General features: G+C 38.9%; 1 protein-coding gene across 3 annotated transcripts in view, besides 1 other annotated feature; it reads right to left on the reverse strand.

Annotated features, from left to right (window-relative positions):
• Positions 1-25,521, reverse strand: part of PAPSS1 (3'-phosphoadenosine 5'-phosphosulfate synthase 1) — a 106,569-nt gene that overhangs the window by 75,650 nt on the left and 5,398 nt on the right. For all 3 annotated transcript variants that reach the window (NM_005443.5, XM_011532401.2, XM_011532400.3), the window contains exons 2-3: positions 11,856-11,970; positions 4,456-4,691 (exon numbers count right to left, since the gene is read on the reverse strand). In NM_005443.5, the coding sequence (NP_005434.4) occupies positions 4,456-4,691; positions 11,856-11,970 (351 nt within the window). The remainder of the gene's footprint in view (positions 1-4,455; positions 4,692-11,855; positions 11,971-25,521) is intronic.
• Positions 15,578-15,742: a silencer, noted in NCBI's record as "fragment chr4:108626049-108626213 (GRCh37/hg19 assembly coordinates)". NCBI's record gives its function as "represses an EF-1alpha promoter that drives an FKBP-Casp9 reporter gene in an ReSE screen in K562 erythroleukemia cells {active_cell/tissue: K562}" and the evidence as "EXISTENCE:reporter gene assay evidence [ECO:0000049][PMID:32094911]".

A 25,521-nucleotide genomic window follows, 5' to 3' on the forward strand; every position in this document is an offset into this window, starting at 1 on the left:
AGGCTGTTTCTACCTTAGGCCTCCCCACGCCACAACCCAACCCCTACCAGCAACACTCAACCCCTCTCTTCTGGACAAACCAATGTGCTTCCTCACAGCACATCTCCATGGTGACCTCCTCCAGGAAGCCTTCCCTGCATGCTCAGGCTGATGAGGCCCCTTGCTTTCTCAGGGTTCTCAGAATACTCACTACATATGATCATAGATCTTTTTCCAGTATATTAAAATCATCTCATCAGCTTTACAAGTTTAGTGTCTGGAATAGCAATTAAGCTATGATCTTACTATTCTAACTATCCTTTTAAAGGAAAGTGTCAATGAGTTTCTATCCCTGTCTCTCATCTTATTACTCTTCTGTATCTAATCGTCCTCATCTAGGTTTCAACTAATAAAGTTAATGATTCCTAAATCTAGATCTCAATCCCATACAACTTTCCTAAACTCTAAAACCAATTTCCTAGATGGCCCAGTGGTAATCTCCACTTAGACTAACTCCACTAGCACTTCAAACATAACCCACCAAAAATGAAATACGCATGTCCTCCCCTCCTATCCTGTACTTCATAACTCAGTCATACCAACCTTTATTCAGAAAGCACCATGCTTCATTCTGCTCTCCCATAAAATCAGCAATCAAGCAGGCACCAGGTCTTACTGATGCTACTCAAGCCTCAAGAGCCCTTAAATATGCCCCCATCTTTACTAGTCCCATTGCTGCTGCTTGAGTTCACATCCTCTTCCCTGAAGGAGCTGGTGCTACGGCAAGCCTCCTGGCTAGTCTCCTACCTCCAGACCAGTCTCAATCCAGGCTTCAAGGATGACCTCACTCAAATGCAAACCCAATGATACCAATCTCTGTTATAATCTCAAACTATTAACTCCTTTTGGGGCAAAATCCTTTCTGAGCAGTGCAGAAGTCACCACCTAGCCTCTGCAAATTGATCAGCTCCATCTCCCCTCACAATCATCCTTCATATCAGTCACACCAACCTACCTACAGTTCCCCAAAAAAACAAACTGTCTCACATTCCATTGAGCATACTATACTGTCTCCTCTGTCTGAAACAGTTTTCTCCCTCTGGTCTAACTAGTATACTCTGATTCATCCTTCATGACTCATTTCAAGCAGCAGCTCCTCTGTGATTCTCTCATAACACCTTTCACATATATGTACTTCATCACTTGCCTCAAGATATTGTAACTCTTCACATCTCCGCATTCCCACCAGACTACCAACTCCTTCAGAATAGGAAGTATCAGGTTAATTTTCAGAACCAATATGCTCAGTTCAGTGGTTGACATGGAAATTCCCAATAAACTTCTCTTGAATGAACAAATATAATCATGACTATACAGAAAAATACACATGTCCTGTATTGCATGTTTCAATCCAAATATTTTCATGGATTTTCAGATGCCCTAAACATAGTCCAAACCTCATTATCAGTGCTTTTATAGATGAGGTCAACAAAGATTTTGCTCCACACTATACAAACAAGGGGGCCACAAAGCAGATCAGCACACACTCTTAGATACCCAGGTGTCGGCTGATAGCTCTCCATAACAGGTATTATAGACCTCCCCCTTTTCCGAGAGCTGCAAGATTCCCACCAGAAGGTATAAGAATGCCAATATCATATTTTTATGAAAATTGTGTATATCCAAGGATTCAGGAACTCTAACTCTTATTATGCTCCTATTATTTATACACTTTAAACTGATATATTGGCAATGACCCAAGGGTTTCAAGAAATGGTTTTTACAGAATGTTTTAGGACTCCTGCCATGGTTCAATTAAGTGAACCTGTGTAAATAATACTCAATCTAACACTTATCCATAATTCTTACAGGTCAAATCTTGTTTAAAAAAAAAAAAAGTCCAAGTAACCATCAAAATTTATGATACAGTACTAGAATTGTGCTAATATAATTTATTCCATTTATTGAATAGTTATTACATGCCAGGCACTGTGCTGAGGCTTTAAACACATGACTTACGTAATCTTCAGAGCAACCCTATGTTGTAGGCATTACTTGAACTGCAGGAGGTTAAGTGTGCTGGACAAGGCCACAGCAGCAATAACTGGCAGAGCTGAGATTTCAGCCCCTTTGTTTCCAACTCCAAAGACCCTGCCTCTCACCTCTATACTAACTCGCTTATTCACTGATATCAGGGCTTCCCAAGGGAGTATGCTATTGTTCAACAAACACTAATCATATAATATGGTCCAAGAGCCGGGCTTGGCATCAAGATTACAAAGGCAAATAAGACACGGTCCCAGCTGTCAAGGAGCCAGTGGGGTTTGGAGGCAGCATAGCATCTAAGCCCAGGAGACGCACTGTCTGGATGCAAACCTGTGCTCTTCTACAAGTATAGTGTGTGACCTTGGGCAATGCACACCTTTGTTTCCTTGTGTCCCCACTAGGAGACAAGAATTACTTGAGTTAATTCACATAAAAGCACTCTAGCAGTTACCAGAACACAGTTAAGTGTTCAATAAATGTTAATATTATTACCACTACAGCTACTATCAATATCAACAGTCAATGAATTGGGTTTTTAAAAATAACATATGCATACCTGCAACCATCTTATCTTTGACAAACCTGACAAAAACAAGCAGTGGGAAAGGATTCTCTATTTAATAAATGGTGCTAGAACTGGCTTGCCATATGCAGAAGATTGAAACTGGACCCCTTCCTTACACCATAGGCAAAAATTAACTCAAGATGGATTAAAGGCTTAAATGTGAAACTCAAAACTATAAAAACCCTAGACGAAAATCTAGGTAATACCATTCAGGACACAGGCACAGGCAAAAGATTTCATGACAAAAACATCAAAAGTAATTGCAATAAAAGCAAAACTTGACAAATGGGATCTAATTAAACTAAAGAGCTTCTGCACAGAAAAAGAAACTATCATCACAGTGAACAGACAACCTACAGAATGGGATCAACAAGGAACTTAAGCAAATTTACAAGAAAAAAACATTAAAAAGTGGGCAAAGGGTATGAACAGACACTTCTCTTAAGAAGACATACATGCAGCCAACAAACATGAAAAAAAGCTCAACATCACTGATCATTAGATAAATGCAAACGAAAACCACAATGAGATACCATCTCACACTCGTCAGAATGGCTGTTATTAGAAAATCAGGAAACAATAGATGCTGGTGAGCTCGTGGAGAAAAAGAAATGCTTTTACATTGTAGGTGAGAATGTAAGTTAGTTCAACCATTGTGGAAGACAGTGCAGTGAATCCTCAAAGATCTTGAGGCAGAAATACCATTTGACCCAGCAATCCCAGTACTGAGTATATACCCAAATGAGTATAAGTCACTCTATTACAAAGATACATGCATGAGTATGTTCACTGCAACACTATTCACAGTAGCAAAGACATAGAATCAACCTAAATGCCCATCAACGATAGACTGGATAAAGAAAACACGGTGTGTATATATATATATATATATCATGGAATACTATGTAGCTAAAAAAGGAATGATATCATGTCCTTTGCAGGGACATGGATGGAGTTGGAAGCCACTAACCTCAGCAAACTAACACAGAAACAGAAAATCAAACACTATATGTTCTCACTTATAAGTGGGAGCTGAATAATGAGAACACACGGACACATGGGGGGAAACAACACACACTGATGACTGTTGTGGTTGGGGAGGGAGAACATCAGGAAGAATAGCTAATGGATGCTGGGCTTAATACCTAGGTGATGGGATGATCTGTGTAGCAAATCACCATGGCACACGTTTACCAATTTAACAAACCTGCACATGTAGCCCTGATCTTAAAATAAAAGTTGAAGAAAATAAAATAATGTGTTAAGGTACCTAACCTAAGTCTCCATCTATAACTGGAAGTCAGCTGACACTGTGAAAACAGGAACAGGAGGGAGAAGAGTGCTTTCCAGGCAGGGAGGAAACAAAAATCCTGAGATAAGAAATGACATAATTTTTTCAGAGAAATACACAAACATGGTTTGTTGTTGCTGCAGTCTCTAAAATAAGAGGAACTATGATGCAAGCTAAGAACAACGAATTCTGAGCAAAGAAGCCATGGTAGGGCACATGTTAAGAAAGTTAGATTTTCTCCGGAGTTTGACATCTGTCAAGTATTCACTATAGTTTTATTAAGTTGAAAAGTTGAGCCTGAAATAATTTGGCCATTGGCTTAAATTCAATGACTGTGTTATACTTCACGGCTTTTTTAAAAGCAGGTTTTATCAAAACCAGATTTACTTAGAAAGTCACAGCATAGAAATGTTTTAGGTTATTTTAATCCTATGTTACAGGAACAAAGAGATGGTAGCTGGGGAGGAGTAGAGTTAGCCTCAAAGCACATATCAATGTTTAAAGTATGTGCTTTGCCTGATACCATATTCTCAATAAATGTAAGCAGAAAGGCAATGGCACAAAAACCACATACCTGAGTGTAAGGTGATATGAAACTTGTGATGCACACTAAGCCAGCATCTGCAAACAGTTTAGCAACTTCTGCGATGCGTCGAACATTCTCTTCTCTGTCTTCAGGACTAAAGCCAAGATTTTTATTGAGACCTTGACGAATATTGTCACCATCCAGAGTGTAGCATGGAATACCATGACAAACCAGGTACTCCTCCAAGGCCATGCTCACAGTAGTCTTTCCCGCTCCAGACAAGCCTAAAATTAAACAGTCCAAACAGATTCCATGTGTAAAGTTAGAAGGATAACTATGTAGTAATACTTTTTTTTTCCCAGAAACAAGAGTCTTGCTCTGCCACCCAGGCTGGAGTGCAGAGGCTGCATAGCTCACTGCAGCCTCAAACTCCTGGACTCAAGAGATCATGCCTCAGCCTTCCAAATAGCTAGGACAACAGGCACATGCCACCACATCCAACTTATTTTATTATTTGTAGAGACAGAATTCTCAATATGTTGCGCCAGCTGGTCTCAAACTCCTGGCTCAAGAGATATAAAAAATTGCAATCACAGGATTAAATACATTCATTATGCAAAGCAATCTCTCAGTAATGTTCTTATCTAATATTTCTCTTTAAGATTTACCTCTTGCCTAGGAAAACACCTACAGTTTAAACATAATAAGTGTTTGTTTTAATGAAATATCTATGAGCAAACGTATCAGAAATCACTGATAAACTTCAGAAAGGCTTAACTAATTTTATTAGCAGACATGGTTGGGAATTCACTTTGTCCTCTCGTTACCACTTTTCTAAAGCTGCATGCCAAATTTTAAAACAAAGTCATATGCCCAAATTATTTCTGGTGAGGGAAGAAAAAGAAAGGACAAAAGAAAGAAATGTTACAAAGGTACCTCCATTTTCCTAGATCATCAGCACTCACAAACCACCTTGATACAATTATCTGGGAGTCCAATTTATAATATAATTAATTTTAATAGAACACCCTCATTTCAACTCACCTTCCTATACCAACAGTATTTACTCAGTAAACAAAGAGAAGGAAAGAGTACATTTATGCACTATTACTTGCCAACTTGGCGAGTGTCATAACCAAGATAGTTCTAAAACAAGAGATAAAATACTAAAGTCTAATGTACCAATGCTCTTGAAAGAATTCATGGTAGTACAGAAGGCTAACTGGAATAAAAAAAAAAATAGAAGAGAGGGCTTTTTTTTGGTTCCATATGAAATTTAAAGTAGTTTTTTTCTAATTCTGTAAGAATATCAAATGGTAGTCTGATGGGAATAGCATTGAATACATAGATTACTTTGGGCAGTATGGCCATTTTCACGATACTGATTCTTCCTATCCATGAGGCTGGAATGTTTTTCCATTTGTTTGTGTCCTCTATTATTTCCTTCAGCAGTGGTTTGTAGTTCTCCTTGAAGAGGTCCTTCACGTCCCTTGCAAGTTGTATTCCCAGGTATTTTACTCTCTTTGTAGCAATTGTGAATGGGAGTTTATTCATGATTTGGCTCTCTGCTTGTCTATTGTTGGTGTAGAAGAATGCTTGATTTTTGCACATTGATTTTGTATCCTGAGACTTTGCTGAAATTATTTATCAGCTTAAGGAGTTTTGGGGCTGAGACTATGGGGCTTTCTAAACATAGAATCATGTTATCTGCAAACAGGGACAATTTGACTTCCTTTCTTTCTATTTGAACACCCTTTATTTCTTTTTCTTGCCTGATCGCCCTGGCCAGAACTTCCAATATTATGTTGACTAGGAGTGGTGAGAGACAGCATCCTTGTCTTGTGCCGGTTTTCAAAGGGAATGCTTCCGGCTTTTGTCCATTCAGTATGATATTGGCTATGGGTTTGTCATGAATAGCTCTTATTATTTTGAGATATGTTCCATCAATACCTAGTTTATTGAGAGTTTTTAACATAGATGTTGAATTTTATCAAAGGCCCTTCCTGTGTCTATTGAGATAATCATGTGGTTTTTGTTATTGGTTCTGTTTATGTGATGGATTACATTTACTGATTTGCATATGTGGAGAAAATTTTTGCAATCTACCCATCTGACAAAGGTCTAATATCCAGAATCTACAAGGAACTTAATACAGAAGAAATAAACAACCCCATCAAAAAGTGGGCAAAGGATATGAACAGACACTTCTCAAAAGAAGACACTTAGGTGGCCAACAAACATGAAAAAAAGCTCAACATCACTGATCATTAGAGAAATGCAAATCAAAACCACAATGAGATATCATCTCATGCCAGTCAGAATGGCTATTACTAAAAAGTCAAGAAACAACAGATGCTGGAGAGGCTATGGAGAAATAGGAACGCTTTTAAACTGTTGGTAGGAAATGTAAATTAGTTCAACCATTGTGGAAGACAGTGTGGTGCTTCCTCAAGGACCTAGTACCAGAAAATACCATTTGACCCAGCAATCCCATTATTGGGTATATACCCAAAGGAATATAAATCATTCTACTATAAAGATACACGCACATGTATGTTTATTGCAGCACTATTTACAATAGCAAAAACATGAAACCAACCCAAATGCCCATCAATGATAGCCTGGATAAAGAAAATGTGGTACATATACACCATGGAATACTATGCAGCCATAAAAAGGAATGAGATCATGTCGTCTGCAGGGACATGGACGGAGCTGGAAGCCATCATCCTCGGCAAACTAACACAGGAACAGAACACCAAACACTGCATGTTCTCTCTCATAAGCGGGAGCTGAACACATGGACATGGAGGGGAACAACATACACTAGGGCCTATCGGTGGGGAGGTGGAGGCCTCCCAGTGGGGGTAGGTAGGGGAGGGAAAGCATCAGGATAAATAGCTAATGCATGTGGGGCTTAAAACCCAGATGATGGGTTAACAGGTGCAGCAAACCACCGTGCCACAAGCATGTAACAAACTGCACGTTCTACACATGTATCCCAGACCTTAAAGAAAAATTTAAAAAAAAAAGAAGAGGAGGATATGTTGAGAGCATCGATACAGTGTCAGTTGCTTTATACATTAAAAACCGATATTAATGACTGTAGCCAGCTGCATTTTCCAAAGATGGCTGCAACTGAATATCCCATCCTACAAGTGTCTACAATGTGACTTTACTACTGTCACATCAAGAGGTACTAATTCCCTGCCCTAAAATGTGGGCTGGCCTTAGGACTTACCTGCAGCCAAAAGAATGTAGTGAAATAGTGACACGATGATGTGTGACTACCAAGGCTAGGTCACAAAATGCTATGCAGCTTTTCTTTGGTCACTTAATTTGGGAGAAGCCAGTGACTAAATCCCTTGAGACCACCATGCTAACGTGATCCCAAGCAGGTGTACCAGCCACTCTCAGCCCGCTAAGCTCCCAGCTGACAACCAGCAGCATCTGAGTAAGTCATCTTGGACATCCTGCCCAGCTGAAACTTCAGATGACTGTGGCCCAGGCCAGCATGACAACAACCAAGCAAGCCCTAAGCATAGCTGCCTATCTGAGCCCTTTTAAATCCCTTACCTTCAAAATGGTAAGCAAAGTTAAATGGCAATTGTTTTACAACACTGGGTTTTAGGCAAATTGTTACACAGTAACAGTAGGTGGAACAAAGGGATGGTGGCTAGGGTGAAAAAGGTTGTTCGTTATTTCTTTTGAATTGTTGTTTTTAACCACCAATTGAGCATCAAGTATCAGGGAAAAAAAAGTTTGAAACTCTAAACTTTTACACAACAAAAACAACCTAAATTATAATAAAAGTGTCTGTTCATACATACATGTGTATTTATATGTTTTAAGTGCATATTTAATTTGAAACAAATAAGCACTGTTGAAAATTGAATTACTGATATAAACAGTTTCATTTAGATAATTATAGTCAACAGAGCAGTCAGAGGAAACTGATAATACAAGATAAGCAATCCAAATCTAAGATATGGATAACTGGTATACCTGAAGAATAGAAACCAGCTCTACTGGGTTGAATAGTGTTCCCCAAATATTCATGTCCACCCAGAACCTCAGAAGGTGACCTTATCTGGAAATAGAGTCTTTACAAACACAATCAAATTAAGAGGAGGTCATACTGGATTAGGGTGATCCAACAGCTGGTGTTCTTACAAGGCTATAAGACAAAAAGAGATTGGAGTGATCCGTCCACACACCAAGGACTGCCAGCCACCAGCAGAAGCCAAGGGGGAAACAGAAGAGATTCTCCCTCAGCACTTACAGGAGGAACCAACCTCACCACAAACTTAATTTCAAACTTCTAGCCTCGAGAACTGTGGGAGAATAAATTTCTTCCACCTATTTTGTGGTTAATTTGTTATGGCAGCCCTGGGAAGTTAATATACCAACCAATGTAGAAACACAAAACAACAAAATTTCCCTAAAATAAAATCTGATAAAAAGTGAAACACGTCTAGCAAAACAGCATACAAAAATCACTCAATAGCTTGGGCAGATCCAGGTTAAGCATCTGAATTGCAAGAAAAAAACAAATCTTGACTTCCATGTCCAACATCATTATCAAAAAACATATATATGAAGGCTACAGAAGATTTGACACCACAACTGACAAGCTTAATCTATTATACAGAATACTGCACACATCAGGTGAATACATATTCTTTTCAAATACACGTTTATGAAAACTACAAGTTTTCCAGGTCCACATGGGAGGAGCTTGAAAGTCACCACCACATCCGAACAAGTGAAAACCTGAACAGAATAACTCTTCTTGGATCCGTGAGGGGAGGACAGGGGGCAAACCACTGCCTCCATGAATGGGGAGACAGGCAAATGAAGGGAGTAACTATTGACTGCAGCAGAGACTCACTGTGGGGAAAAGTACTGTGGGAACCAGTGTCACACAGAAAAACCTAAACTGTAATTGATGAATTAATTAAGGCTCAGTGTGGACAAGTCCGAGAGTTAAAAATTTCAAAGGAACCTCGTTATAGGGAGGGCCCCACAACATTGTGAGTTTCACCTCCAGGAGCTCAATCAGGTTCTCACAGTAAATATTGGAGAAAAATCCCCAAGTGCTTCCATTCTGAAATACACCAGAGCACCAGATTTTTTTTTTAACAAGGACTGAACTCAGGAGAAACTATTTAACCAAAGCCTAACCTGCTGAGGTTTTATTGGAACCTAACTGACCTGGGGGAAGGGAAATACCAACTCCAGCCAATTCTAGCCATCCCGTCCCAATTGAGGAAGGCATAGGGTGGGGGCAAGGTGATGACTGAAAACTTATTACATACTAGACCACAGAGCAAGTACCAAAAAATCAGATAAGCTTTATTTATAAGTATCATTAGTGATGAAATAAATGGAAAACACCACGTTCAAGAAAAAGAGTACCCAATATTCTAAAGATCAATTTTCCCCCAAAATTAATCTTAGATACAATGCAATCCCAAACTAAATAACAACAGAGTTCAGGGGAATTGGTTAAATCTATTACAAGATTTAGACAACACTAAGAGCCAAAAAAAAAAAGGAAGTCACAATGAAAAAGAAAAGTCAACATTGCTGATGAAGAACAAGGTAAGAGGACTTACTCCACTGTCCTTCAAGATTTATAAAAATACAGTAACTAAGAAATGTGGCATTAACAGAGGAACAGACAAATATATCAGTGGGACAGAGCAGAGGGCCCACACATAAGTGGAGACCTGATATAAAACAAAGCAGACACTGCAGATCAGAGAAAAAAGACACCCTCATAAATCTATGTTCTTGGGATAAGTGATTATCCACATGGAAAAAAACGAAAATGGATCTGTCCCTCACACTATACACAAAAATCAACTGCAGATAAGGACCTAACTGAGAAAGACAAAAGCCTCTATTTCCCTGTATTTTTACAGGGAAATAAGTAATTCCTTAGTCATCCAGATGAAAAAAGGAACGCTCCTAAAAAGAAAAAGCTGATTAGGCTCACACTTATTCAAAACATTTAATGCCAGAAGACAATAGAGTACTGTTTTTAAAATTCCAAGACCAAGAAAGTATGAACCAAATATATATTTTACCCAGCCAAGTTGGCATAAAAGGTAGTCATTCTCAAACATAAAACCTCCAGGAGTTCAGAACCTAATGGAAGGCCATCTTGCAAAAATTATTTAACAATGAAATACAGACAATTAAAGACCATTCAAATAAAGAGCTCATGAGTGAACATGTCATAGTAAAATAACTGATGGGAAGCTACCAACTATTGACCCATTAAGTGCTATAAACCTGGGCAATAAAAATGTAACAATTTAACTGTCTGGAATTAAGAATGAGGAAATGGGAAGAATGTGAGAGTGTATCTTCTTTCATACAAAAACAAACAGACCTGTCTAAAAATGAAACATGATTAAAAAAACAAAAGAGTAACTTTTTTGCCAATCAGCACAAATTTTTAAGAACTGGTAACAACCACTGTTGACAAAGACACTGGGAAATAAACACCCTCCCATACTGCTGGTAGGAGAGTAAACTGGGATAAAATTTTAGTGGGCAATGTGGCAAAATGTATCAAAATTTTAAATATAATTCACAGAAGTGAAAGCATCCATCGTTTTTAAAGCTACTTCAAAATCTGTATCAATTCAGTCACTCACCAGCCTGCTATGACTAAGCCAAAAGACAAGACTCTAGGGAAACAATCAAAGGCCATAGCAAAAGCTGAATAATAGAAATTCACTTTGTGAAAATTCTTGCCACTCATTCTTTCTGGTTGTACCATGCTATGGTTTGAATGTGTCTCTCAAAGTTCATGTGTTGGAAACTTAATCCTCAATGCAACAGTGTTGAATGATGCAGTCTAACGGAGGTGTTTAAGTCATGAGGGCTCCACCCTCATTAATGGAATAATCCATCTATAAAAGGGATTGAGGCTGTGAGTTCAATCTTTTGCTCTTTCTCAGCATGTGATGCCTTCTGCTGTATTACAAACATAGCAAGAAGATGCTAGTCCCTCAATCTTGGACTTCCCAGCCTCCAGAACTATGAGAAATAAATTTCTATTCATATAAATTACCCAGTCTCTGGTATTCTGTTATAACAGCATAAAATAGACTAAGACGTATGGTTTTCACTGTTAGCTTCTCAGAGCAGAATCCAGATCTTATTTGCACTCAGAAGTGTGTAGAATTTAATGTGCTATCTATGAAAAAGTAGTTTTAAGGTTCATTGTGGTTTTTACCTTTATTTAACAGCAATCCTATAAAAGAACAAAAAAAAAAATAACAAGAAATATTATTAAGCAACTATGTCAGTTATATGTCGTGATGCTCCAAATACAAGAACAGAGCTCAAAATTTAAATATGCTTACGCCTAGTCCAAGGTTACCTATATGCACTGCTTTTAAAATAAACTGCTTTCTCTCTCTTGACCATACCTGTTAGCCAAACTGTGCAACCACGAAAGCCACCTCTGGTCCCCACCACCTGACCTCTCTTGTTCCTGCTGACATGATGGGCTTGGTAGGTGACATTGGTTGCTCTCTGCATTCCCTAGAAAAAAAAGAAAAAAAAAATTCTAGTTTACATGAGTCCTTTAAAAGGCAAACACATATTCCTTGCAAACACACAAAAGTCTATGTAACATGCCAAAAGCAAAGAAAAAGATAAAACAGTTTTTTTTTTTCCTTAGAGTACTGGCATGGTGTTTACTGCTTTCCACATGCCAACTGATTTAATCCTCACAGCAATCCAATGACATAGGTACTCTTACTACTAAGGTTTTACAGATGAAGATTTTAAATCTGAAAAATGGTAAATAACTTGCCGGAGATCCCAAAACTAGTGAGTGGCAGACTCCAGAGCCTAGTCCTTTCACACATTCATTTATTCGTTCATCCATTCAGATAGTATCTACTGAGGCCCTACTAGTATGCCATGTGAGCAAAACAAGGTCACTACCCTCAATTAGCTTACATCCCACTGGGGAACAATGTAAACCAATAAAACTTAACTACAACATCAGAGAGTGATAAGTGCACTGTAGAAAAATAACATAGGGTAAAAAAGGAAACAGAGTGCCTCTTTAGAGAGGATAATCAAGAAATGCTAAGAAGGTGACATTTGAGTAGACTCCCAAAGAAAGTGTGAAAGAGATGCCTATGGGTATCATGAGATAGCTACTTCTGAAATGAAAAAAGTGGAATGTACTGGTTATAACTTCATGTTCTCCCAAAGCTGCTTCAAAAAAAAAAAAAAAAGCATAAAATTACTTAGGCCTCAAAGTATCTGAACAGGCTTTCCTCCAAAGAAAACATACAAATGGTCAATAAGCCACATTATTTAAATAATATTCAACATCATTAGCCACCAGGAAAATGCAAATCAAAACTACAATAAGGTATCACTTTGCACCCACTAGGATAGCTGTAATAAAGACAGATAATAACAAGTACTGGGGAGGATATGGAAATATTGGAATCCTCATATATTTGTTGTTGCGAAAATAGTAGTCATTTTGGAAAACAGCAGCCCCTCAAAATGTTCAATACAGAGTTATCATATGACCAAACAATCCCATGCCTACATTATACTCACAAGAAATGAAAACATATGATCACATAAAACTTGTACATACATATGTCCACAGCAGCATTTTCAGAAATACATTGTTATTATCATCACCATGTTATACATCTTTTGAACTTAATCCTTGTATCTAAATAAAATTTTGTACCCTTTGACCAACATCTCCTCCAACCATCCTCCTCGACCCCCACTCGACCCCAAACCTCGCAGTCCCTGATAAACACCATTCACTCTCTACTTCTACAGGTGCAACTTTTTTAGATTCCACATGTAAGTGAGATCATATGGTACTTCCCTTTCTGTGCCTGGCTTATTTCACTTAACATTTTATCATCCATGTGGTAACAAACAAAAGGATTTGTATAATTTTTAAGACTCAATAGTATTCCACTGTGTAAATATACTACTTTTTTTTAATCCATTTATCAACTGGTCAACACTTAAGCTGATTCCATATCTTGACTATGGTAAATAGTGCTGCAATTTACAATTAACATGAGAATGCCAATATCTACTCTACATACTGATTTCACATCCTTTCATTATACACCTAGTAGTGGGATTGCTGGATCATATGGTAGTTCTACTTCTAATTTTTTGAGGAACCTCCATATTGATTTCCATAATGGCTATACTAATATTCCCACAATAGCACACTAGGATTTTCTTTTCTCACATCCTCACCAACACTTTTGTCTTTTTTATAACAGCCATTCTAACAGGTGTGAGGTGATAGCTCACTGTGGTTTTAATTGCATTTCCCTGATGAGTAGAGAAGTTGAGCCGATGATTAGAGAAGTTGAGCCTTTTTTCATATACCTGTTGGCTATTTGTCTATCTTCCTTTTAGGAATGTCTATTCAGATCCTTTGCCTATTTTTTAATTGCACTGTTTTCTTGCCACTGAGTTGTTTGGCTTCCTATTTTGGATATTAACCCCTTATCAGATGTATGGTTTGCAAATATATTCTCCCATTCTGTAGGTTGTCTCTTCACTCTGTTGATTGCACCCTTTGCTGTGGAGACAATTTTTATTTGATGTACTCCCATTTGTCTATTTTCATGTTTGTTGCTTGTACTTTTGGAGTCATATCCAAAAAAAAAAAAAATCACTGCCTAAACTAGTGTCATAAAACTTTTTTCCTACTTTCCTCTAGCAGTTTTAGACTTTCTGATCTTACATGTAAATTTTTAATTCACTTTGAGTTTTTTTTATATGAGGTGAGATAAGGGTCTAACTTCATTCTTCTTCACGCAGATATCCAGTTTTCCCAACACCATTTTTTGAAGACTGTCCTCTCCCCATCATGTATTATTGGCACCTTTGTCAAAAATCAATTAAATATAAATGCATGTATTTATATCTGGGCTTTCTGCTCTGTTGTATGGTTTATATGTTTGTTTCTGTATCATGCTGTTTTGATTACTATAGCTTCAGAGTGTGTTTTAAAGTTACGTAATGTTAATACCTCCCGCTTTGTTATCTTTGCTCAAGATTGCTTTGGTTATCTGGGGTCTTTTGTGGTTCCATACAAATTTTAGAACTGCTTTTTCTATTTCTGTGAAGAATCCTTGGAATTTTTATAGGGATTGCATTGAATCTGTAGATCACTTTAAGTAGTATGGACATTTTAACAATATTAATTCTTTCAATCCATGAATACATACAATGTTTCCTTTTATTTCTGTCTTCAATTTTTTTCATCAATGTTTCACAGTTTTCAGTATACAGGTCTCTTACTTCCTTGGTTAAATGTATTCCCAAGTATTTTATTTTTCTGGTAGCAACTATAAATGAGATTGTTTTCTTATTTCTTTTACAGGTACTTCAATGTTAGAATATAAAAACACTACTACTTTTCTAATGTTGAGTTTGTATTCTGCAACTTTACTAAATTTATTTATTCTAACAGTCTTCTGGTGAAATCTTTAGGGTTTTCCATATTATTTAAAACCACGTCATCTGCAAACAGGAACAATTTAACTTCTACTTTTCCAATTTGGATGCCTTTTATTTATTTCTCGTCTAAGTGCTCTGTCTAGGACCTCCAGTACTATGCTGAATAGAAGTGGTAAGAGTGGGCACCCTTGTTGTGCTCCTGATCTTAGAGGGAAAGCTTTCAACTTTTCCTGTTTTACCATTGAGTATGATGTCAGTTGTGGGCTTGAACTATGTAGCCCTTATTACGTTGAAGTACATTCCTTCTTTTCCTAATTTGTTGAGAGTTTTTATCATAAAAGGTTAATGAACTCTTTCAAATAATTTTTCTGCATCTATTGAGATGATCATAGGTTTTTTGCCCTACATTCTGTTAGTGTGGTGCATCACCTTTATTAATTTGCATATGTTAGCTGGGCATGGTGGCTCACACCACTAATCCCAGCACTTCAGAGGCCGAGGCAGGCGGATCACCTGAGGTCAGGGGTTTGAGACCAGCCAGGCCAATGTGGAGAAACCCCGTCTCTACTAAAAATACAAAAATTAGCCGGGAATGGTGGCATGCACCTGTAGTCCCAGCTACTCAGAAGGCTGAGGCAGGAGAATTGCTTGAACCCAGGAGGCGGAGGTTGCAGTGAGCCAAGATCATGCCATTGCACTCGAGCCTGGGTGACAAGAGCAAAACTCCACCTCAAAAAAAAAAAGAAAAAATTGCCTATGTTGAACCATCTTTGCATCCCTGAAATAAATCCCACTTGATAAGGAGGAATGATCCTTTAATGTGCTATATAATTCAGTTTGCTACTATGTGTTCAGGATTTTCGCATCTATGTTCATCAGGGACACTGGCCTGTGATTTTCTTTTCTTCTAGTGTCCTTTTGTGGCTTTGGTATCAAGGTAATGCTGGCCTCATAAAATAAATTTGGAAGTATTCCCTCTTTAATTTTTTGGAAGAGTTTGAGAAAAAATCGTGATATGGTTTGGCTATGTGTCCCCACACAAATCTCATCTCGAACTGTAATCTCCATGTGTGGAGGGAGCGACATGGTAGGAGGTGATCAGATCATGGGGGTGCTTTCACCCATGCTGCTCTCGTGATAGTGAGTTCTCACAAGATTTGATAGTTCCAAAGTGTGGCACTTCCCCCCTTGTTCTCTCTCTCCTGCCACCATGTAAGATGTGCCCTGCTTCCTCTTCACCTTCCGCCATGATTATAAGTTTCCTGGGGCGTCCCCAGTCATGCAGAACTGTCAGTCAATTAAACCTCTTTTCTTTATAGTTTACCTGGTCTTAGAGAGTTCTTTATACCAGTGTGAAAACGAACTAATACAGACTGGCATTAATCTTTCTTTAAATGTTTGGTAGAACTCAACAGTGAAGACATCCCTTAACAAATTATTGTCACTATTGTTAATTGTCTTTTAACATTCATACCGGAGATATAAATTATTGTCACACGACAATTACAGTATTTATTCTGAACTTGACCGTGGACTTACTTTTACCAGTGAGTTTTATACTTTCATGTTACTAATTAGCATCCTTTTATTTCAGCTTGGAGAACTCCCTTTAGTGTTTCTTTTAAGACATGTCTGGTAGTGATGAACTCCCTTAGCTTTGTCTAGGCAAGTCTGTATGTTTGTGTTTGTGAATTACAGCATTGTTGAATACAGTATTCTTTGTTGGCAGGGTTTTTTTCCTTCAACACTTTGAACATGTCAACCCAGTCTCTCCTGGACTACAAAATTTCTGCTGAAAAGTCTGCTGCTAGCATTTTTGGAACTCCCTTGTATGTGATTTGCTTTTCTCTAGCTGCTTTCAGAATCCTCTTTTATTTTTGACAGTTTAACTATATGTCTTGAGGTAGTCTTGTTTGGATTGAATCTGATTAGAACTTTTGATCTTCCTGTACTTATTTATACCTTTCCCCAGATTTGGAAAGTTTTCTGTTGTTATTTAAATAAGCTTTGTAACCCTCTTTCTCTTCTCCTTGAACTCCTATACCTCAATTTTTGTACTTTTGATGCTGTCCTATAAATCCTGTAAGCTTTCTCCATTACTTTTCATTCTTCTTTTTCCTCCTCTAACTATGGAAGAAATCTGTCTTCAAGTACAATTATTTTGCTTGATCAGTGCTTCTATGGATGCTCTCTATTGCATTTTTCATTTTATTCATTAAATTTTTCAGCTCTAGAATTTTTTATTTTTTTAATAATTTCAATCTGTTAAATTTCTCATGTTGGTCATTTGTTGTTTTCCAGAATACACTGAATTATTTCTATTTTATTGAGGTTTGCTGGGCTTCCTTAAACAATTATTTTTTAATTCTTTTTCAGGCAGTTCATGTATCTCCATTTCTTTTGAATCAGCTACTGGAAGGTTATTTTGATACTTTTGGTAGTATTAAGTCTCCTTGTTTTTTCACATTTCTTGTTGTCTTATATCAATATCTGTACAATGAAGAGGTAGGGACTGATTCCAGTCTTTGTAGACTGGCTTTATTTGGGAAGCACTTCACCAGTCAGCCTGTCCAATCTGGGAAGGCCATCTGGCATGGTGCACAGGCAGGCTTGCTGCTGGAGTCCTCAGGGAGGCTGGCCTGGTATCTGGGTCAGCAGGTAGGCAGAGCTCAGCTGGTGCTGGAGCGGATGTGGAAGCCTAGGTCTACAGTGGTTGGTCTGAAGCCTACCTAGAATCACAGGACCTGCCCTGAAGCCATGGGAGCTGACCTAGATGCTCAGCATATGGGTGCTGGCCTGGAACCTGGGTCCACAGAAATGGTCTTACAGCCTGGGTCAATGGGAGCTGGTATAGTGCTGAGATGTATTGGGATGGTCCTGAAACCTTGGATCTCTTAAGTATGGGGTTGCAGCAGCCAGCCTGGAGGGTGGGGCTACAGGGAATGGCCTTGTACTGGGGCAGACCTGAAGCCCAGGGCTGTGTGGGCCAACCTGGCTCTCAGCTGGTCTGAAACCTGGAGAGGGCCTGAAGCTGGGACAGCTTGAAGCCTGTATCCACAGGTGCCTGCCTGTGACAGCCAGCCTGGTACTAAAGGTAGCTCTAAGCCCAGGGCCACTGGGGCCAGCCTGGCCCTAAGACAAGTCTAAAACTTGCATCAATTGGGTCTGGCCTGGTGGTGGAGGTTGGAGGAGCTGGAACCTTGGGCTGCAGAATCCTGCTTAGTACCAGGGTAGGCTTGGACGCTCAATCCATAGGTACCATCCTGGAGTCTGGGGCTACGGGGGCCTGCCTTGCACTGAGTTTCACTGAGGTGGGCCTGGTGTTGGGTTCTGAGGCAAAATCTTTTGCTTACTGCCCTCTTCCTCCCCTAAGCAAAGGGTATCTTTCTCCACGTGCTGCCTGAGGTTGCAGGCTGGGGGCAGTAATATAGGTCATGTAAAACTGTTCTTTCTACTCTCTTCAATGTGTTTTTTCTGATTTCTCTGCTACATCCAGGTGCGGTCATCTCTCACCTGGTTTCCTTAGCTTTTATTAAAGTATTTTTGTGCAAGAATAGTTGTTCAATTTATGTTTCTGTGTGAAGACAAGCACTGGGAAGTCCCATTCTGTCATTTTGCTGACCTCCACCAATACACAGATTTGACTTTTAAGGAATTAAATTTCTATACAAATCTTCAACTTCCATGAGATTAAGGATCTCTTTTCCTACCTTCCCCTTCACAATCCTGTACAGCAGAAATGCCATCTCCCACACATCTGAATCTTATTATCATCATTACCATTACCTGAAAAATCCTCTGGGACCAAAGGGACAATTTGACAACTCTTTTTAATAGGTATGCCACAAAAGCTGCACCCCTTCCCATCTACTCATCTCATTAACAATAATTATTTACACAATAATTATTAATACTTTATTTCCAATAAAATACTTTTACATATTTAATAATCACTTACAAAAAATTGTAATGAGTCTCTAGATTCATTTCTTTTCAATAAACTGATGAAGCAAATACAACTTACCAGCTCTACATTTCCAAGAACTTAAAAAAGAGGGCTTCAGAAGTAGACATTTGTATATCTTGAGAAGCAGTGGCACCTCTTTAGCTTTAGCTCCCATTGATACTGGCTAAGGAGGAAAAGGGAGCTAAAGTCTCTGCTAAAAGGGAATTGCAGAGGGTGCTATACACATTTTGCTGCCTATACTGGTAGAACCTGTTTGGCTTGGTCATTTTGTTTGAGGATTTTTCCAAGTTACTTCACTCTTTATAGACAAGAAGAAACATATATCTAATGAATTTTAATTGATTTGGGCTCTGTAAAATATCTTCTGCTTTTCTTATCAAATCAAGCTAGAATGCATAAAAATTATCTGTCAAGCTATCAACTGCTGAGAATATGGCTGAGAAAAAATACAGACAGGGTAAGTAGAGACCGTCTGTTTTAATCTCTAAAAAGAATGCTCCCTCAGTTTCTTGCCTCCTACATTTAAAAAGATTCTGGCAGCAAACATAGTACTCTGGATATAAGGAGATTTTTTTTGGTTTATGTATGTTTGATATTGTTAAATCAAGTTAAGCCTAAAGCTACCTCTTTTACATATTTTAAGTTCAGCCTAAAGGTTTCTCCATATGTACTAAACTAACCTAGCTGGAGACAAACAGACTGTATCCACCCTTGTGCCAATGACTGAGTTTTGGCCAATCAAATGTGGCCAACTGTTCAAACCATGTTCAAATAAGTCAAATGCTGAGCTATAACCAATCCAGTTGTTTCTGGACCTCACTTCCATTTTCTGTGCACCACTTTCCTTTTTCTGTCCATAAATCTTCTACCATGCAGCTGCACTGGAGCCTCTGAGCCTACTCTGGCTCAGGAGGCTGCCTGATTCACGAATTGTTCTTTGCTCAAACTCTTTTAAATTTAATTCAGCTAAAGTTTTTAACAATATTTTTCATATTAAAAAATAAACTTAAAAAAAATTGCCACATTGTCCTAACTCCCAATTTTTCAAAGTAAATCAAAGAGCACTTTTATAAAACTACTGGAATTGAAACAGCCTTTGCAAAAATTACAAGTGAGAAAATTGTTAACAGTGAAAAAGATCTGATCTAACCAACCTCCATCTTGCCTTTAACCTCCAAACTGCCCTTAGGTATTGCTGGGTTTGGGTCAAGCTAACTTTGGGAGAAATTTAGTTTTTAGTTTAAATGATAATACTACTTCCCCAAAAGTAAACCATCTTTTAAAGCTAATAAAAGACCACCAGGTTAGGAGATGAGAGGAGCCTGAATCCTCCCAAGGTGTAAACATAAATGATTACCAGCCACTATTCCAGAAGTCACAAGATTTTCAACTTCCCCAGTTACTCCTGCAGATGACATCGCTATTGTAGAACCTAAGATTGGCCTTTTGAGATGTCTTTTCAGGTTTTTGCATTTCTGACTCTCAATGGCTCCACCTGGACCCACCAACCACCTGTGTGCTCCCAACCAGAAGTGTACTTAACACACTAGGACTATCTTCCACACCCCTATGATTACATCCCCAACGAACTGGCTGCACCCATTGCCTTGCCAACCAAACTATCCTTAAAAAACTCTGGCCTCTAAATTTTGAGGAAGGCTGATTTGTTCAATAATAAAAGTCTCCTGTTCAGCTGGCTCTGCATGAATTAAACTCTTTCTCTATTGCAATTACCCTGTCTTGATAAATTTGCCTGTGGGCAGCAGGCAAAATGAACGCATTGGGTGGTTACAGAATTGCAAAGTGGTAGACTTAGGCCTGAATTTTTAGACTCCACAGCCACTTATACATGTAATCTTCTTCTACTTCCCCTTTCCTTCCTTCTGCACCCACTTCAGCCAAATCCTTTCTATAATTCTGCTGAGGAAACATGACATTAATGACTCATTAAGGGTTGAGAATGAGTTACTTCCTTCCACCTCTAAATTTCTATTCTTGGCTTTCTGGGTTGGAATTTTTTTTTAAAGTACATTTCTATACTGAGTCTTCTGTGCCCTAGTTTCCATACACAGGAGAGAGAAACCAAGCTTAGTGCTTCTTACTTAATAGTCTGGGTGCTTTGTAGAAAAATATATATATATGTATATCTGGCTCAGTGTAAGTATGTGTACCTAGGAAGTCCCTATAACATTTACTGCCCATATCATTCTTTTGTTATTTATGTACCATTAACACATTTATTTGTCTTCTTGTGCCTATATATTATTTCCTAGAAAGTAGGTCAAGGACTATGAGTGTCCTGCTCGGGGTCAGGTTCCAGCTCATGCTGGGGTCCGAAGGGAGTAAGTGGATGAGCAGATAGCTGAAAGAACACTCAGGGGCATATGCAGGTGAAAGGTAGTTTTACTCAGCAGCTCTCTCATCAGCAGCTCACTCACATTAGCTCTCTCACACTGTTTGCCTTGTCTTGACTGCTTAGTCCAGCAGCTCCCACACATAGCTACATGGCCAGCTCTCCGTTCAGGGTCAACAGCTTAAATCTCTCTCTCTCTCTCTGGGTGTGAGCAAGACGAGCTGTGTCCTGGCTCGCTCCTGTCCATCTGCAAAGATGGACAGCTCTGGCTCTCTCTCTCCTTCTCTGGGTGCAAGCGCACCCATACAATGTCAGCAGGGCAATTATATCTTTTACAGACAATAGTGGCTTACAGCCAAATGATGAACCTTCTCATGTTATGGCTACATGGCTGTGATAACAAGTGGAGTTATATACCTGCGCTGTAAACTCGCTGAGTCATTCTGGACGTTTGCCTCGACCTATCCTTGACCAAAGCACAGCCATGTTCTTTACAATGAGTTACAATTATCCATATTTTCCACAATGCCCAACCTCCTTTGTTACTAGTCAGTACTCATAAAAGCTAGATACAAGACATTTATTTTAAAGTATGGTTTGTTTTCTCTGTGTAACTTGCAAATGAAATGATGACTGATATTTGGAAATCTTAAATCTAGCAGAAATGGAATAATTCATTGCAAGGCCATTTAATATTTACTACATTTAGAACTAAATGACTAACAATCCTGTCACTAGGCTAATATTGCATGTCCTCTGATATTTGTGGTATGCATTTTCTGTACATACTACAAACTTCCATCCTCATCAATGACACAAGTGGCCCTTTTTGACCCATCTTAATTTCCACATGGCCGTTTTGTTATTTTATCCACTTGCCTGTAAGGAAAATCAACTTCTCTGTGATGCTACTTAGAGAATTTCATATTTTGTGAATTTTTCATCATTTTATAAAGAATTGTGCATTTTTAAGTGAAATGTATAAAGACACAAAGCATATACCAAATACTAAGCATAATTGTGGACTTCAACATCTTTCATCCATCCTATCACCCACCCTAAACTGATAAACAGTGTATTCCTCCAATGAGAAATCCCTGAAATGGTAACAGGCACATTTCTTTTATGTCCCTAGACACAATATGGATGAAACTGTAGAGATCGTAACAATATGGATAAATGAGAGACTGTAGAATACAATGAAAAGAAATCTTTAGTTCACAGAGTTCTTGATAATTAAAACCTTTAGTTCACAGAGTTAACTAATAACTGAAATTAATATTTTAAATATTAATAAGTCAATGATAAAAAGCAAGTGAAGATCATACATCCCTGGAGGATGTTGAGAAAACAACTTGAAAAGGCTACTCTTAAAACTTTGCTACTACAAAATATGCTGTGTGGCAACACTGGCATGGCCTGGCTGCTTGTTAGGAAGCAAATCTCAGGCCCTACCACAGACGTCCTGAATCAGGACTAAGTTACTAGCATGCTTATCTCATCAGTACCATCTGTCATGCATACACTCTGCATACACATTACGGCTCTCCAACTATTCTGTTAAAGATTAAAGAACTTCTAAATATTTAATAGGTTTTTATATCAGTACCTTTAATGGAAGGGCCCTCCATTCCATTACCTCCAACTGGGAATTCCGGCCCTAAGACACTCCTAGAAGTCAGAATGGGCCTGGGACTATCTGTTCATTCATTATTTGTTGTTTGATCCTTTCTAGACACTCAGGACACAATAAAAACAAAAACATTTCATAAAAAGAACTAGTTATACATAGGTAAATAAAGAAATCATTAATCTGTAACAGACCCTGTCTCCTAACACAAACACAGTGAGGCATTCACCACACATACAAGGGAGGTTCAGAGACTGGGCAGCCAAAATACACTAATGTCCACCTCAAAGGTTGAAATTAACTATTAAAACCACATAAGACTAACCACAAAAACTTATGCACAAATGTTCATAGCATTTATTCATGATAGCCAAAAAGTAGGAACAACCTAAATGTCCACCAACTGATGAATAAAGAAGATGTGGCCGGGCGTGGTGGCTCATGCTTGTAATCCCAGCACTTTGGGAGGCGCAGGCGGGTGGATCATGAGGTCAAGAGATCGAGACTATCCTGGCCAACATTGTGAAACCCCGTCTCTGCTCAAAACGCAAAAATTAGCTGGGCGTGGTGACACGTGCCTATAATCCCAGCTACTCGCAAGGTTGAGGCAGGAGAACAGCTTGAACCAGGGATGCGGAGGTTGCAGCGAGCCAAGATTGCGCCACTGCACTCCAGCCAGGCGACAGAGCGAGACTCCGTCTCGGGAAAGAAAAAAAAAAAAAGTTGTGTTATTATCCATACAATGGGATTTTTTTCTTCAACCATATAATGAATGAACTATTAAAAAAAAAAATACAAAATGGAGTCTTGCTCTGTTGCCCAGGCTGGAGTGCAGTGGCATGATCTCAGCTCACTGCAACCTTCGCCTTCTGGTTCAAGCGATTCTCCTGCCTCAGCCTCCTGAGTAGCTGGGATTACAGGCACATGCCACCATGCGTGGCTAATTTTTTTCATATTTTTAGTAGAGACGAGGTTTCACCATGTTGGCCAGGCTAGTTGATACATGTTGTAACATGGATGACGCTTGAAAACATTATCCTAGGTGACAAAAGCCAGATACAAAAAGCCATAGATTATATAATTTCATTTCTAGGAAAGCCCACAATAGCATAACCCATAGAGACAGAAAGTACATTATTGGTTGTCAGGGGCTAGGAGAAAATGCAGAGCCTGGGGAATGACTACTAATGGGTATAAGGTTTCTTTTTGGGGACATGTAAATGTTCTAAAATTAGATTCTGGTGATGGCTGTACAACTCTGGCTATACTAAAAACCACTGAATTGTACACTTAAAAATATGAAAGACAGGCCAGGCATGGTGACCCACGCCTGTAATCCCAGCACTTTGGGAGGTCGAGGTGGGCAGATCACGAGGTCAAGAGATCGAGACCATCCTGACCAACATGGTAAAATCTCATCTCTACTAAAAATACAAAAATTAGCTGGGCATGTTGGTGCACACCTGTAGTCCCAGCTACTCGGGAGGCTGAGGCAGGAGAATCACTTGAACCAGTGAGGTGGAGGTTGCCGTGAGCCAAGGTCATACCACTGCACTCTAGTCTGGCAACAGAGCAAGACTCTGTCTCAAACAAAAAAAAAAAAGAAAAAAAAATATGAAAGACAAAGACAGAGGTAAGGTATGCAAGCACCAAAGTAACTAGAGAGAAGAATAAGAGAAAACAGCCTGCACAATGGCTGCATTCATCCAAAGACAGATACTGAATTTCTCTACATAATGTCTGGTATTTCCACCATCATTATTCAGTTAAAATTTAACAACTGTGTCTTTAGGAAAAGATATGTCACAGAAACGATTACCACCGACAAGATTTCTCTCCTTGATCAAACTAGGCAGGCTCCTTCTGAACCCTCTTTCAACTGGGCCCTATCCTCGGGCACGTCTTCAAGAGTCCAATTTTAGCAGAAATCCCCCATCCTCCATAGCTGACCAAACTCTTCAAGCTGCACCATCCCCCAATGATGTCTGATCACCTTGGCCTGCCTGCCTTCAGCAAGAACCCTGTTAAATCGTTTTAGTCAGAATACTCCCTAATTCTTAATGTTTCCTCTTAGTAATTTTCCATCCACCGACCCCCACCCTGCTCCCTCACCATAAATTCCCACTTTTCCTTACTGTATTTGGAACTGAGCCCAATCTCTCTCCCCTACGGCAAAACTCCACTGCAGAAGTCTCTATAGCCACTGCAATAGTCTCCCTGAGAACATTCTCTCTACTACCGCTTAACACCAAAAAGAAAAATCACTCCCTCCATTTGAACTAATTACTTAATCTGATTTCAAAACAATTCAGGATTGGGGTTTTCCTGTCTTGTTACTGGTATGCTATGAGTAACTGATCCATCTCAGAGTAAGAAATGGCAACTTCCAGGCTGATGGGGGAAAAAAATGCCACAACAATTGGATTTTTCAACTGGATTTTACATTTGCATTTCAGATTTAAGAATTTTTTTTAGAAATTTAGGTTTTTTTAAGAAATCTTTTCCAATAGATGTTAGAAGAATTATCCCCCTCCATACGCAAGTAGAATAGCCAAAATTGTCTCCAGAATTGCCAAATGCCCCCTAGGGCTGGTAAAATCTCACGATTGAGAACCACTGGCATAGAGAACTACTCCTCAAAATTCAATGTAACACACCCAGGCTGGG

The sequence above is a fragment of the Homo sapiens genome, chromosome 4, assembly GCF_000001405.40.
Source record: "Homo sapiens chromosome 4, GRCh38.p14 Primary Assembly".
NCBI lineage: Eukaryota > Metazoa > Chordata > Mammalia > Primates > Hominidae > Homo > Homo sapiens.